General features: G+C 40.1%; 1 protein-coding gene across 1 annotated transcript in view, besides 1 other annotated feature; it reads left to right on the top strand.

Moving 5' to 3' along the window:
* The window catches only part of SPOCK1 (SPARC (osteonectin), cwcv and kazal like domains proteoglycan 1), a 524029-nt gene that overhangs the window by 252805 nt on the left and 257001 nt on the right, over positions 1–14223 (top strand). The window lies entirely within an intron of this gene.
* Positions 10707–11906: an enhancer, noted in NCBI's record as "P300/CBP strongly-dependent group 1 enhancer chr5:136570305-136571504 (GRCh37/hg19 assembly coordinates)". NCBI's record gives its function as "activates an origin of replication core promoter dependent on BRD2, BRD4, P300/CBP, MED14 and CDK7 cofactors, with strong dependence on P300/CBP, by STARR-seq in HCT116 cells {active_cell/tissue: HCT116}" and the evidence as "EXISTENCE:reporter gene assay evidence [ECO:0000049][PMID:35650434]".

The following is a 14223-nucleotide window of genomic DNA, read 5'->3' as shown; positions in this document are numbered from 1 at the left end:
AAATGAGGATGTTTAATTTGGGAAAAGCCAATGTAATAAGTGGGAGTGGGAGAAAATATGTTATGTTTGATTCCAGGAGGTAGAACTAGTCTCAATGGATGTAGGTTATAGGGAGGTCAACTTTATCTTGATAGAAGGAAATGTCATATCCTAATGACAATAGTAATAGATGGCAGACAGTTTACTGGTCACTTTATAGATAGTGTCTCTAAGATTTACAGCATCATAGTAAATGGTTACTATTACCCCAGCTTTACAGATGATGGAACTGAATCTCAGAGGTAATTAAAAATGTTGCTAAGGGTACACAGTGATTAAGTGGATAGTGAGAATTCAAATATTGGTCAGATTCACTTTAAAACCTGAAGTGTGTCCATTCTGCTGTTTCCTCTCAGTAGATAGAGTTGACTATAATGATGGGCTGCTTGTAGGGGGATTGACATCCCATCACTAACTGTTCAAGTAGGACATAGAGGACAACTAAGAAATCCAGAGAGAAACCTTTCCTAAAGATGGTCCTTGTCCTGTTAATAGGTGTTATAGTTATTATAGGCATGCATGTTGGTCAGAGAAGCTGGGACAACATTAGTTTAAACATTAGGTAGATATCTTTCTTGCTGGACTTCTCAAAGCCTTTTATATGTTAATAGACAGGCAGTATATACAGTGATTCCCAAACTTATTTAATCATGGATCCCATGCTTAAAGAATATCTCAAGACAGTTTTTTTTTTTGTTTTTTTTTTGTTTTGTTTTGTTTTGTTTTTTTAACAAATGCAGCTGTGAGAAAATTCATGCTGCAGAGAATTCATGATTGGGCCATCTAACCGTACATCCCTTGAGACTTGAGGTTGTGGATGTCTCTGTGATTCAATTCCAGAATGCTCTGTGCACCTTTGCAAAGCGGAAGCCCTCCATGCCTGGGCACTTTCATCTGGACCTTGTGCTTTTCTGACTCTGCTAAGTTTTTGATGCTTTTATTGCCCTCAATTTTGCTTTCATTTTTAAGGAGGAATATTGAATATTTAATGAATTCCCTCCTCTGCTATGTCCTTAACTATTGATTAGAACCAACAATTGGCATAATAATCATTTGAGGTATAATTATTTCTTATAAATGTTATATGAGTACTAGGAATGGCCTTGTAAAGTTCCAGAAAGTCATAGAAAGATACACTTACATCCATGTGTTTCTAAAACCAATTATTTTTCTCAAATTACTTTTCAGATTGGCTATTAAGTTGAAAAGATGATTGATTTTTTTAATACTGGCATCAAGGAGAATCCTAGTGAAATATGATGTGTTTACTATTAATTATGTTAGCTCTCACCTGGAAGCTTAATGCCAATAATATTTATTTTCTCCTTTTAGTGGGACACGTGGTCATGTTCACTAATACCTTGTTAATTTTGCGGAGGATAGGGGTGGGAGGGAGAGAGTCATTATCTTTTTTATTCAAATCTGTAGAGGATTATTTTGAATTACTCAGAGTTTAAAATCAACCTTTAAAATTTTCAACCATTTCTATGAGCAATTTTCTCTTATTAGGTAGAGGTAAACTTTGTCCTGGACATTGGTAAGTAATAAAATTAGTATTTAAAAACCAGCAAAGATCTTTGAAAGAGTCTGCCCTCCCCACCCTGTAGGGGGTTGGATCTTTGGTTCTTATGTTGGAGGGCACTAGGCCAAGGTGACAGAAACTGGCATGGCAGAGAGCATCGGGTGGGAAAAAGGGCACCCAGGTACCAGCAGGTGCCCAGCACCTTGCCTTGTGGAGTTATTTGCAGTCATAAATATGTTTGGTAGCCCCAGTTCCTTTTTTTCTGGGTGTGAGCACTTTCCATTGAGGGTAGAACAAAATCTTGTTGGTCAGTGTCAAGTGGGACTCTGTCGTCTGGTGGGATACTACTAAATTAAGGCCCACAGATTTCACATTCTCCTGACTTCAAATTCAAAATTGATTACTGTGTTTTATAGTTCTGTCAGAAATTAATTTTTCCACTTTGGTATTATGGCTTTTTGGAAGCATCTAGAATTCAGCTTCAATATATACAGTTTCTTTTTAGTTGCCTCAAAAATGGTTTTTTCCCCCTTCAAATTCTGTTATGTGTTTTCTTCCTAAATATCTTCATTTTGAAAATCGCATAGTGGAAGCAACAGGCTCACAGTTACCTTAAAGACAGTGGGTTTCCCAGAGCAGTCTCTCCAAGTCCCAGCATAAATCTGAATTTTCTACACGTTGAATTTTGGAGGTTTGTTTTTTGTGGATCCCTGTGCCACTAGCAGACTCTTTAAGTCCCTGACTTTGTGTTTTTGAGTACCTCTATTGAATGTAATATAGTCTCTTTATAGGCAACATGTTATTTTTATGTGCCTTTCTTTATTACACATGATACAAAACCATCTCTGACATTTTTTATACTCACTGAATTTTTATTAGAGTTATATCTTTCATCAATAATAACCTAAGCTGCAACACTCTTCTCTGGAATATTTACTGAGACTGCCACCACTGTTGGGAAAGAGGGCCATTGCCACCTTATTAGAAATAGTTTCATCCTCATTGCTTTTATCTGGTTAAATAATCCTTTAATCCCTGTTCATTGCCCATAGATCCTGACTCTCCCTGCTAGTGCTGTTAATGCAAGTCCGCGGAACAGTGTGGTGGGTGAGGCTGGCCTGCTAGTTTATCAGTTTCGAGTCGTTATGGAATCATTAGTTCTGGTGGCTGCAGTGATTAGAACTGGAGGTCTCATACCTGCAGCTAGCCATGTTCAGTCATAATAAGGGATTTAGCAGATATTTATGCAAGCAGAAAATTGAATCAGCAGCACCATCAGTGTCTTAAATTATGGCATTTTTCCTGCAGAATTCCTGTGAAATGTAATAGTAGATTTGGACAGAATCATTTCTTACGTTGATTAATTTAGGGTCTTTTGGTAACACAGAGAGGTAGGAGGTTTTTTACATGAATAAGTCTTCCATTATCTTAGAAACTTTAAATCAGTTTGTTCTGGATGGTACCCATATGTGAATACAGCAGTTCCCATTTAAATACTCACCTTTTTTTCTATCAATTTCAGAAAATTATCTTCTCGATGATGTCTTTGGTCTTAGGAAAGTGAGACTGAAAACACATAAAAATAGAAAGGCTCTGATACTGAATTTAAAATATAAAATACTAGCCTGCCTTTGAAACGTTTGGGTGAGTTTCATTGTAATTTTAAGAGATTAAAAAATAGCCGCCGATTATGGGCATCTTAAGGCCTCAGCGTGCTTTTCCCCAGGTATTAGCTGTTAAGAGAAAGGAAACATGGGGCTCAAGAACGAGCCAAGGAAAAATCAGCGGCTCAGTTGTAGGTGGGACAAGGCACTTCCCAGGACACGTTTGGATAACATTTTCTAAAAAATAATCCCAGAAAAGATCACATTCCTTTTGGTTTTTTATTTTTTTATTGAATATAGTTTTTAAATAAGGAATAAATTCAGTTGGTTCAGGAATGAAAATAGAAAGAAGTACAGTAAAAAGTCTCTTTGTGCTCAATTTTCTCACCCTGTCACCACTGTTATTAGTTTCTTTGTATTCTTCCAGAGGAATTTTAATACACACATTAGTTAGCATTTGTATATATATTCTCTTTCTCCAAGACATATGAACATGTTATACACAATGTTCTCCGCCCTGCTTTTTGCAAATAATATGTCTTTTTTTTGTGTTTGTGCATAGAGATAATTGTTAACTTTTTTATTCTTCTACAACTGTATGGTTTTTTTGGGGGTTGGGGGTACAGGGTTTCACCCTGTCACCCAGGCTGGAATGCAGTGGCGAAATCACAGCTCACTACAGCCTCGACCTCCTGGGCTCAGGTGATTCTCCCACCTCAGCCTCCTGTGTAGCTGGGACTACAGGCGTACATCACCATGTCTAGCTAATTTTTGTATTTTTTTGGTAGAGACAAGTGTATTAGTCCATTTTCATACTGCTATGAAGAAATGCCTGAGACTAGGTAATTTATAAAGAAAAAGAGGTTTAATGGACTCACAGTTCCACATGGCTAGTGAAGCCTCACCATCATGGCAGAAGGCGAAGGAGGAAGAAAGGCAAGTCTTACATGGTGGCAGGCACCAGAGTGTGTGCTAGGGAACTACCCTTTATAAAACCATCAGATCTCATGAGACTTATTCACCATCATGAGAACAGCACAGCAAAAACCCCACCCTCATGATTCAATTACCTCCGACCGGGTCCCTCCCATGACCTGGGGATTATGGGAGCTACAATTCAAGATGAGATTTGGGTGAGGATACAGCCAAACCATATCAATGGGGTTTTGCCATATCCACCAGACTGGTCTTGAACTCAGGAGCTCAAGAGGTCTGCCTGCCTCGGACTCCTGAAGTGCTGGGATTACAGGTGGGAGCCACCATGCTGGCCTGTATGGTTTTTTAGTGTTAAATAGACCATAACTTATTCAACCTATCCTCTGTTAATGAGTCTTTGAATTGTTCCCAGTATTTTACTATCATAAGCAGTTCTGGAATGAATAATTTTGTATGTATGTCATTTCATATACCTGTGCCAGTTCTTCAATATGCTGAATTCCCAGAAGAGGAGCTGCTGGGTCAGAAGATGTATGCATTCTTAATTTTGATGGCTATTGGGAAATTGTCCCCATTCCATAATGGTCAATGTCTTAGTCTCTTTGTGCTATTATAACAGAATACAACAGACTGGGTAATATATAATGAAGAGAAATTTATTGGCTCATGGTTCTATAGGCAGGGAAGTTCAAGATCAGGGGGTTAGCATCTAGTGAGGCCTTCTTGCTGTGCCATCCCATGGCTGAAGGGCAAAAGGGGTGACAGAGAGCAAGAGATAAAACTTAAAGACTGGAATCCTTTTATAATTGACATTCATCATTCATGAGGGTGGAGCTCTCATGACATAAGCATCTTCCACTGGGCTCCACCTCCCAACACTGTTGCATTGGGGATTAAATTTCCAATACATGATTTTTAGGGGACACATCCAAACCATAGCAGTCAGTATTTGGGAATAATTGTTTCCAACCAGCCTTGGCAGTAAGTATGTCTATTCATGTCCTTTGCCCATCTTTCAGATGGGTCCTTGGTCTTTCATTTGTTAACTTCTGGAAGCTCTTTATATAGAGAGATATTAGCCTTTTACCTATAGTTTGAATCAGTTTCCTGTGGTGGTGTTTGTCTTTTGACTTTGCTTATGTGTACTACTAAGTAAAAGTTTCATTGTTATGTGTTTGTATTTATTAACCTCGAATTTTATGGCTTCTGGATTTTCAGGCATGTCTTAAAGGCCTTTTCCACTTTGAGGTTAATAAGAGATTTTTCTAGTTTTTCTCCCATTATTTTTTAAATTTAACTTTGCTCCCACCACCCCTCAATTTAATAGGATTTTCCTATCAATCTCATTATCCATTTGGAATTTATTTTGGTACGTGATGTAGGATATAGAACCAACTTTATTCTTTAGATGCTATCCAGTTGTCCTTGTGTCACTAGTTGAATATACATTTTTTTGTCCACTGATTTGAGATGCCATCTTCACTTACACTGAAGTATTTCCATTTGTATTTGGATTAGTTTCTGGACTTTGTATTTAGATCTATTTGTTTGTCTTATAGTCACATTCCAGTACCAGTCCCACACTATTTTAATCATTGTTCGATAATGTTATACTGTCTGATATGCTTGTCCTTCCTCATGACTTTTCTCTTTCAGAGTCTCTCTTTTTTTTTATAGTCCTATATTTTTCTAAATGTATTTAAGGATAAACTTGTATAATCTCCAACCTAAAAACAAGGTTATCATTAGGAGAGCATTACATTTACAAATTTCCTTAAGGAGAGTTGACAGCTCTGTGAGTTTGTCTTCCTGTGTGATATAGTTTAAATAGATATCCCCACCCAGATCTCATGTTGAATTGTAATCCTCAGTGTTGGAGGTGGCATCTGGTGGGAGGTGTCGGGATCACTGGGGTGTAGCCCTCATGAATGGCTTAGCCCATCCCCTTGATGATAAGTGAGCTCTCACTCTGAGTTCTGGCAAGATCTGGTCATTTAAAAATATGTGGCATCTCCTCCCACCTTGCTCCGTTCTTGCCATGTCATATGCCTGCTTCCCTTTGCTTTCTATCATGATTGGAAGCTTCCTGAAGCCTCCCCAGAAGCAGATGCCACTGTGCTTCTGAGATAGCCTGTAGAACCTTGAGAGAATCCAATCTCTTTTCTTATAAATTACCACAGTCTCAGATATTTCTTTATAGCAATGCAAGAATGGTTTAATACACTGTCCAAGAACATGGTATGTCTTCTGATTTGTTCAAATTTTCTTTTGTGTCCTTCAGAAGAGTTTTAAAGTTTTATTCTTATAGCTCTGGTGTATTTCTTATTTAGTCAATTCCTTGGTATTTTATTTCATATGTACTATTTTACATGGAATTTTCTCTTCACATAGGTCTACTACTTAATGGAAGTTTGCATATAAGGAAGCTATGGATATTTGCAAGTCAATTTTGTATTTTGCTAGCTTTCTGAGCTGTGTTGGGTTTATTATAGTTTTTTTAGCTTATTCTTTTAGACTTTCTAAGTATATAATCAACTTGTTTTTAAAAAGTCCTAGATTTAAGTGCTTCTTACCATTTTTATACCTTTTTAGGCTTTTCCTAGTTTCCCTTATTCAATGTAAGTTAACAATGATGGTAGTGAATTCCCTTGTCTTATTTTGATCTTGATTTTTCTTGTCTGTTAAAGGGAAAAACTTTTTCTCTATAGACATAACACTTTTAATACAAAATGTCTGAATTTTTTTTTTCCACACCAAGCAATCCTTTGATTCTCTGTGGACATTAACTGGTGTCCTCCAATTCAGTTCAATTCTGACACTATCCACTTGGAGTTGGTGTCAGATCCCACAAATTAAAGGACTCAATCCTACAAGACTGCCCCCCACTTCAGATGCCAGTCACAAATCCCATACCTCTGATGACTGGCTATACATTCAGGAGTTCCCACACCTCCCGTCTCATGTTCAATATGTTGCTATAATGGGTCACGGTGCCAGGTAAATACTTAAAACACAGGTAAATACTTTGCTTATTTATTACTGGTTTGTTATAAATGATATAAATGAAAGTCCGGATGAAGAGATACATAGGGCAAGGGTCTAGAATGATCCCAAGTGCAGGAGTTTCCCTGTGGAGTTGGGGTGCATCACCTTCCTAGCATGTGGATGCATTCACCACCTCAGAACCTTGTCAAATCCTATTGTTTAGGGTTTTTATAGAGGCTTTGTTTTGTTGGCATGGTTGACCAAATTAATGGTCATTGGTGATTAGGTCAATCTCTAGCCCCTCTCCTCTCCCTGGAAATTGGGGATTAGTGCTGCAAGTTAAAATCTTTTAATCACATGGTTGGCTCCTCTGGAAACCAGCCCCCATCCTTCAGGAGTCATTTCATTAGCATAAACTCATATGGGGTTAAAAGGATCTTACTGTGAATACCAAAAGATGCTTCTCTCCCATGTATCACTCACATTCTAAGGGTTTTAGGAGCTCTGTGCCACAAATCAGGAATGAAGACCAAATGTATATTTCTTACTATATCTCACTATCAATCACTTTTTAGCCTTTTGGCTAAGATCAAGTGTATATCTCACTATCACACATGTATTTTAGTGTTGCCCCCATTAAGTGTGATCTTAGCTTTGTAATAGAGAAAAATATATTTTATCGTGTTAAGGAAGTATATATTTGTTCCTATTTTATTGAGTATTTTTGTTGTTACCAAGACTGGGTGAATTTTGCTCAGTACCTCTTCAGTGTCTTTGGAATGATTACATGATTTTACGTGAGCTCTATTAATATTCACTGGTTTGATGGATTTACTGATTTTGTGCAATATTTGCCTTTCTTGTGTAAACTCTATTTGGTCATGACATACTATTCTTTTATTGTGCTTCTTTATGTGGTAATTTTTTTTGCTTTGCTCTTCATAAATGAGATTCATTTTGAGTTGCCTTTTATGTGTAGCACTTATTTTAAAGAACTTACATTTAGTTTTTCTGTGAAAGAGTGTTTTCTAAATAATTTCACATTGTGAGCAAGATTGTAAGGAGCATGTTTAGCATAAAGGAACAAGTGGTTTCAAGGACTGCAGTGTGTATGTGAGTGCAAATTTCAGCCAGTACTGAAAATAGGGTTTGTCTCTTTGGGGAGGCATATTATGCAAAATAATTTGTTAACACTTCATTAGTACTAATAAGACCTACTGATAACAGTCATTAGTTAACTGAAGTAATTGTTTAGTGTAATATAAGTAGCTTGGGTTTACATATATTAGTTCATTTTAATTCTCTCTACAGCCCTGTGAGGAATTGATTTCAACTTATAGAAGAGAAAGCTTATTTTGAAGAGGTGAACCAGTCTTGCCCAAGATCACACAGCTGTAAAGGGAGGAATCACACTTTAAATCTAGATCTCCTTCATCCCGGTGTCCATATTCTCAACCACCATGATGTATTGCTTTTAAAATAAGTTTGAGTTTTTGTAGGTAATTTGAGGTTAAAAAAACCTATTTCCTGAAGCAGTGCCTTCAAGTGTAGCCCCCAGACCAGCAGCATCTGCAACCCCTGGAACCTTGTTAGAGTCCCACACTCCAACCATATCTGCTGCAGCAGGAACTCAGGGAATGAGGCCCAACATCTGTGTTTTAATAAGCCCTGCAGGTGATCCTCACATACACTAAAGCTCAAGAACCAGTGCCTTAGAGACTGCATCCTCTTCTTCCCTTCTGCTGTCTGAATTGTAGGAGTTATTAACACGTTGACTCTTTGAATAAGGGCAAAATATTCTTTCTTCTTTCCAGAAATAAAGGCTAATTATTTGTTTAACACCACATGTCTTGTTTACAAAATGGAGTATTTGCTCAGCTTAGCTCCCTGTGAAACTTGTGAGAATTAAACATTCTTGTGAGACGTCAGTAAAGCATCATTTACTCAGAGCCTCAGTCCAGGCAGAGGTCTTAAACAAACTGGTTAGGCTTCATTTTAGGAGTGAAAGCAGTTCATAGATGTGTACATTTTCCATATATGGCCTGTCTGTGGGATGTTCCTTCCTGGGACTAAGTAGATGGGGGGCTCTCAGGGGAGGGCCCAGCACTCTTAGTCCTCTGCCTCTCAGAGAGGCACACACTGCCACTCTTCCATTCACTGAATGAGTGAATGCTGGGAATGGGAGCTCATGGTGGGCTGCCCGCTTGACCTCATCTGCACACAGTGCCACCAAATGGAGGAAATAATGATAATTCACTTAACCTGAAAGGCAATTAATGATTTCCATGCAATTACCAGTTGCTTGCCCTTCCCTTTCGGTGCAGAATTCATTCCATTGGCATCGCTGATTTACAAAAGGCAGACTGCTAGCAAGCTAATTGGGTGAAGTCATTATAGAGGACAGTGTGGCTGTGAGCTGGAGCAGTGCTAAAGTGGTTTTCGATAACAGGCCTCTCATCCCTGCGTTGGTCCTCACCCCAGAGTAATTAGATCTGAATGGTATTGGTTGGGGGCTGTGAGGGTGCTATGGGTTTACCAGTGACCAAGTATAGTTTGCTGAAATGAGCTCTTCATTATATTCAGGTATCTTGTCCAGTTCAGGAAGCTCCCAGGCCTGACATATTTCTGTGCTCAGTAGATGTTTTCCTGCTGTGCATCTATATGTGTGACCAGTGGGGAATTGATAAGGGAAAGGAACCAGTTTTTAGGGTCTGCAGAGTGTGTACTTGTATGAGCTGATTCTAAACCATTCCCTCCCCAATCCAGGTCAGATATGACCATAGCCCCAGTCTACATCTCTATACCTCAGGACCTAAGGGCTGGAGACTAGGTTTGGTAGAGCTCAAAGAAACCTGGGCAAGCATGCTCTTATGTACATCTATGCACAGCCTGCCTCTAACATTTGTGGGGCCTACAGGGAGAGTTTAAGCAGAGGTTCACATACCTCCTGTCTAAATAACTAAATCATAAATCAGGCTAACCCACTGTTAAACAATAACATGTGTTCTGTCCTCCTTCCTTGGCAGCTTAACCCTGATAATGCTTGGGGTGTGGCTGTGTGAAAAGAGCTCCCATTCACTGACCACCATTGGCTTCATCCTACTCCATGAAGGGCCTGGTGTGCATGCCGGCAGACAGCCAGCAAGGTGCTGATTGTAACCCCCTCGTCACTGCAAACCACTGCCCCATGGCCTCTCCTGGGCCTAGAGGGCCCTCACTGGCAGCTTAGGCCACCTCAAAAGGATAGACCTGGAGGACAGGCCAGATAGTCATGGAAGGTGGCTCAGGGCCATTTGGGCAGAAAATTCTGGGATCTCAGGGACCAAGGACATGGGCTGGAAAGGCAAAGCATGAGCTCTGGCTGGTCATTTTTTTCTAAGCCCTACAGAAGCCCCACCGCCCTGGGAGGGACGCAGTCAGATCAGGCACAGAGTGGAGGCTCTCCCTGCCTGTGTCTGAGCATGATGCTGGACTTGCAAAATGTTAGCATAGTTTCATTTATCCGGGGCCTCCATCAAAGGAGAGGCTTTAAACACAGACTTTCATGTTCATGTATACACCCCCCACAGACATTAACATGTACGGATGATCAGAAGCCGAACCACCTATGTGAGCTGCCTGCCTCTTGTACTCACACATTCCATCCTTACACACTAACAGACTCCTATACTCCTAGTGGTCATATCTGTACTACTCTTATGTATAAACACACACTCTTTGTAGTTCTCACTTGTCTGCCACACTGTGGCATTCATACCCAGACCCCTGTTGCAAATCTTCACACAGAGCAGTGTTTTCACACAGACACGTGCATCTACCTGCTCACACATGTGTGTATACCCACCAACATTTCACTTGTATACATACCTCCAAACGTAGGCATCTTTCTGCCCATACTCATTTCTCTAACATGTAGCCACACTTTATCTGGGCATGTTTTTCTTGTCAGCACTTGTGATCATTGGTATTACCAGGACTCAGGTTGAAACTAGTGGTTGAAATAAGGCGTTAAGGTTTTGCGTGCAGTTATTTTACAGAGGTTCTACTTATGACTCATGAGTGAATAATGAATACCGGCCACATTGTTTTTCCTGATGACCATAAGGTAATCTGAACATAAACACCCTTTTACCTTGTCTCTCTAGGTGACACACTCCCTCTGAAGGTTTACACTTGCCATCCAACAGGTCAGAGGACTTGGCCATGGCTCCCTGACCTGGATATTTTAGGACAGTATTCAGCATTCCTTACAACATCCTACATCAAAGAAACCATGCAGGAAAGACAAAGTGACGCTAGATCTTCCTGGGAGCCTCAGCTCCCACTTTGCCAATGATTCAGCCCCAAATGTCTGGTCCCCAGGTCACTGCCTACTAGAAGGAGCAGACACAAAGCATGCACTTGGTTTTGTCACTTCCGTAGCAGTACTGTCTCTGAGATGAAATAATATGTGCTCAGTGAGGCACTTCCAGGTCAGCAATATTTAGGCAAAAACCCTTTAATGTCAGTGTTGTAAGATGTTCATCTCTCTGATGAGCAATTTTTATTGGAAGAATGTTTGGTATTTAGTAATATACTTGTCAAACCTAAGAAACACATTAGTACATCACTAATTAACTAAACTCCAGACTTCGATCAGTTGGTGAACATGGTGTTTTTCAGGCTGCCTCTCTGTAAAGCCATGATTTCCCCTTTCCCTACTCTTCTTTGGAGGCAAGTCACTAACCCTAGCCCACCCTCAAGGGGAGGAGGGGAGGAATTAAGGTCTGTTTCCTGTAGGGACCAGCGTCTACATATATTATTTAGAATTGTATTGAAAGAAATATCTCACTCACCCTAACTTTTAAAAAGATACAATGGGATATGATATGATTTATGGCCTGGACAAGATCGTATAGACTTGTTTCTTTCTGCTCTTCTCTGTTAAATATGATAATAAACGCTGGAAATAGCACAAGAGGCAACCAAAAGAGAATGATGAAAGTGGTAAGAAGGTGAGCTGGTTTGGGAGTCCAGTGCTGGAAAGGCGATGCAGCAGCAGGGCATCTACATCCTCCCCTTGCCCAACAGGAGAAGGTGGCCCAGGCATGGTGTTTCCTGACCCACCACCCAGCAGAAGAAAGCAGCCCCAGCAGGGTAAGAGGCTGAACCCAGCCCCAGGGTAAGAGGCTAAGGGAAATACTGGCCTCCCTGCTGGTCCTGAGAATCCTGTCCTCTACTGAGAGAGGCCACAGTGTCTGGGGGCCATCAGCAGAACAGGCCCCACAATAAGTGGCCTGGTATGGGAAGCCTCTTTATCCCTGTGAGCTCAAAACTCCTTTTCCCTACCCAGAGACACCTGGGCAGCTGGGGACACTGGCAGAGGGCACTCAGGATGTCTTCTCATCCTCATGGACCTCAGACTGTCCTTTCCAGCCAGGTGACACTAGATGGCCTGGTCTGAGGAAACCCTTTGCCTTGAAGAACAAGGCAAGAATGTCTGCTCTCACCACTCTTATTCATCCTAGTACTGGAAATTGTGGTCACTGCAGTGAGGCAAGAAAAATAAATAAAGGGCACTGGAAGAAATAAAGCTGTGCCTATTGGCAGATCACATAGTTGTGTAGTAAATCCCAAGAAATTTTTTTTAAAGGAAATACAGCCTCCTAGAATCAGTAAGTGAGATCGGCAAAGTCACAGGATACAAGATCAATAACCAAAAAAAAAAAAAAAAAAAAAAAAAGTGCATATCCTCATACTAACAATGAATATGTGAAAATTGAAGTTAATATCATGTATAATTACTCCAAAGAAAAAGAAATATTTAGATATACACTTAAGACATGTATAGCAGGGGTCCCCAGTCCCCAGGCCATGGACTAGTACTGGTCCATGGCCTGTTAGGAACAGGGTCACACAGCAGGAGGTGAGCGACAGGTGAGCAAGCAGAGCTTTATCTGTATTTACAGTCACTCCCCATTGCTTGCATCACTGCCTGAGCTCCACCTCCTGTCAGATCAGCAGCAGCATTAGATTCTCATAGGCACATGAACCCTGTTGTGAACTGCACATGTTAGGGGTCTAGGTTGTGCTCTTCTTATGAGAATCTAATGCCTGATGATCTGTCACTGTCTCTCATCATCCCCAGATGGAACCATTTAGATTCAGGAAAATAAGCTCAGGGCTCCCACTGATTCTATGTTATGGTGAGTTGTATAATTATTTCATATGTATGTAATAATAGAAATAAAGTACACAATAAATATAATGTACTTGAATCATCCTGAAACCATCCCTGCCTGCCCCTCCCCTGGTCCATGGAAAAACTGTCTTCTATGAAACAAGTCCCTGGTGCCAAAAAGGGTGAGGACTGCTGATATTTAGGATCGGTATTCTGAATATTGTCAAATGGTGATGCAGGTCTAGAAAGGAGTCCAAGTAGGCAAATACAATGAGCAGGACTGGGATTAACCACAGTATGTTCCATGTAGCCTGAAACAAAGATCTTCCCTCCATCCATGATAGTGCGGAATAACACATCTATTTCAACTGACAAATACAAATTGTATTATATTTACAGTGTAAAAAACACTGATGATAGAAATCAAAGAAGACCTGAATGAACAGAAAGACATATCTCGTTAATGGATTTGGAGACTTAACATGGTAAAGATGTTCATTTTCTCCAAATTGCTATACAGGTTCAATGAAATTCCTATCAAAATTGCAGCAAGGTTTTTTGGTAAACATGGATAAGGTTATTCTGAAAATTTATATGGAAAGGCACAGGCCCTAGAATAGCTAAAGTGATTTTGACAAAGAAGAATAAAGTAGGAGGAATCACTCTACCTGATTTTAAGGCTTACTGTATAGCTACAGTAATCAAGACAGTGTGGTACTGGCAGGGGGATAGACACATGGATCCGTGAAACAGAATAGATAACCCAGAAAGAGAGCCAGGCAAATATACTCAACTGCTTTTTGACAAAGGTGCAATTCAAGGGAGAAAAGACAGCCTTTCCAATAAGTGATGCGGGAGCAGCTGGACATTCATAGGCAAAGAAACGAATCTGGACCGAAGCCTCATCCATAGACAGAAATTCACTCAAAATGCATCATGAACTTAAATGTAAAATTTAAAACTATACAACTTTTAGG

Source organism: Homo sapiens, chromosome 5 (genome assembly GCF_000001405.40).
Source record: "Homo sapiens chromosome 5, GRCh38.p14 Primary Assembly".
In the NCBI taxonomy this organism is placed as follows: Eukaryota; Metazoa; Chordata; class Mammalia; order Primates; family Hominidae; genus Homo; species Homo sapiens.
Note: the sequence above shows the minus strand (reverse complement) of the source record. Positions and strands in the feature narration are given on the sequence as shown.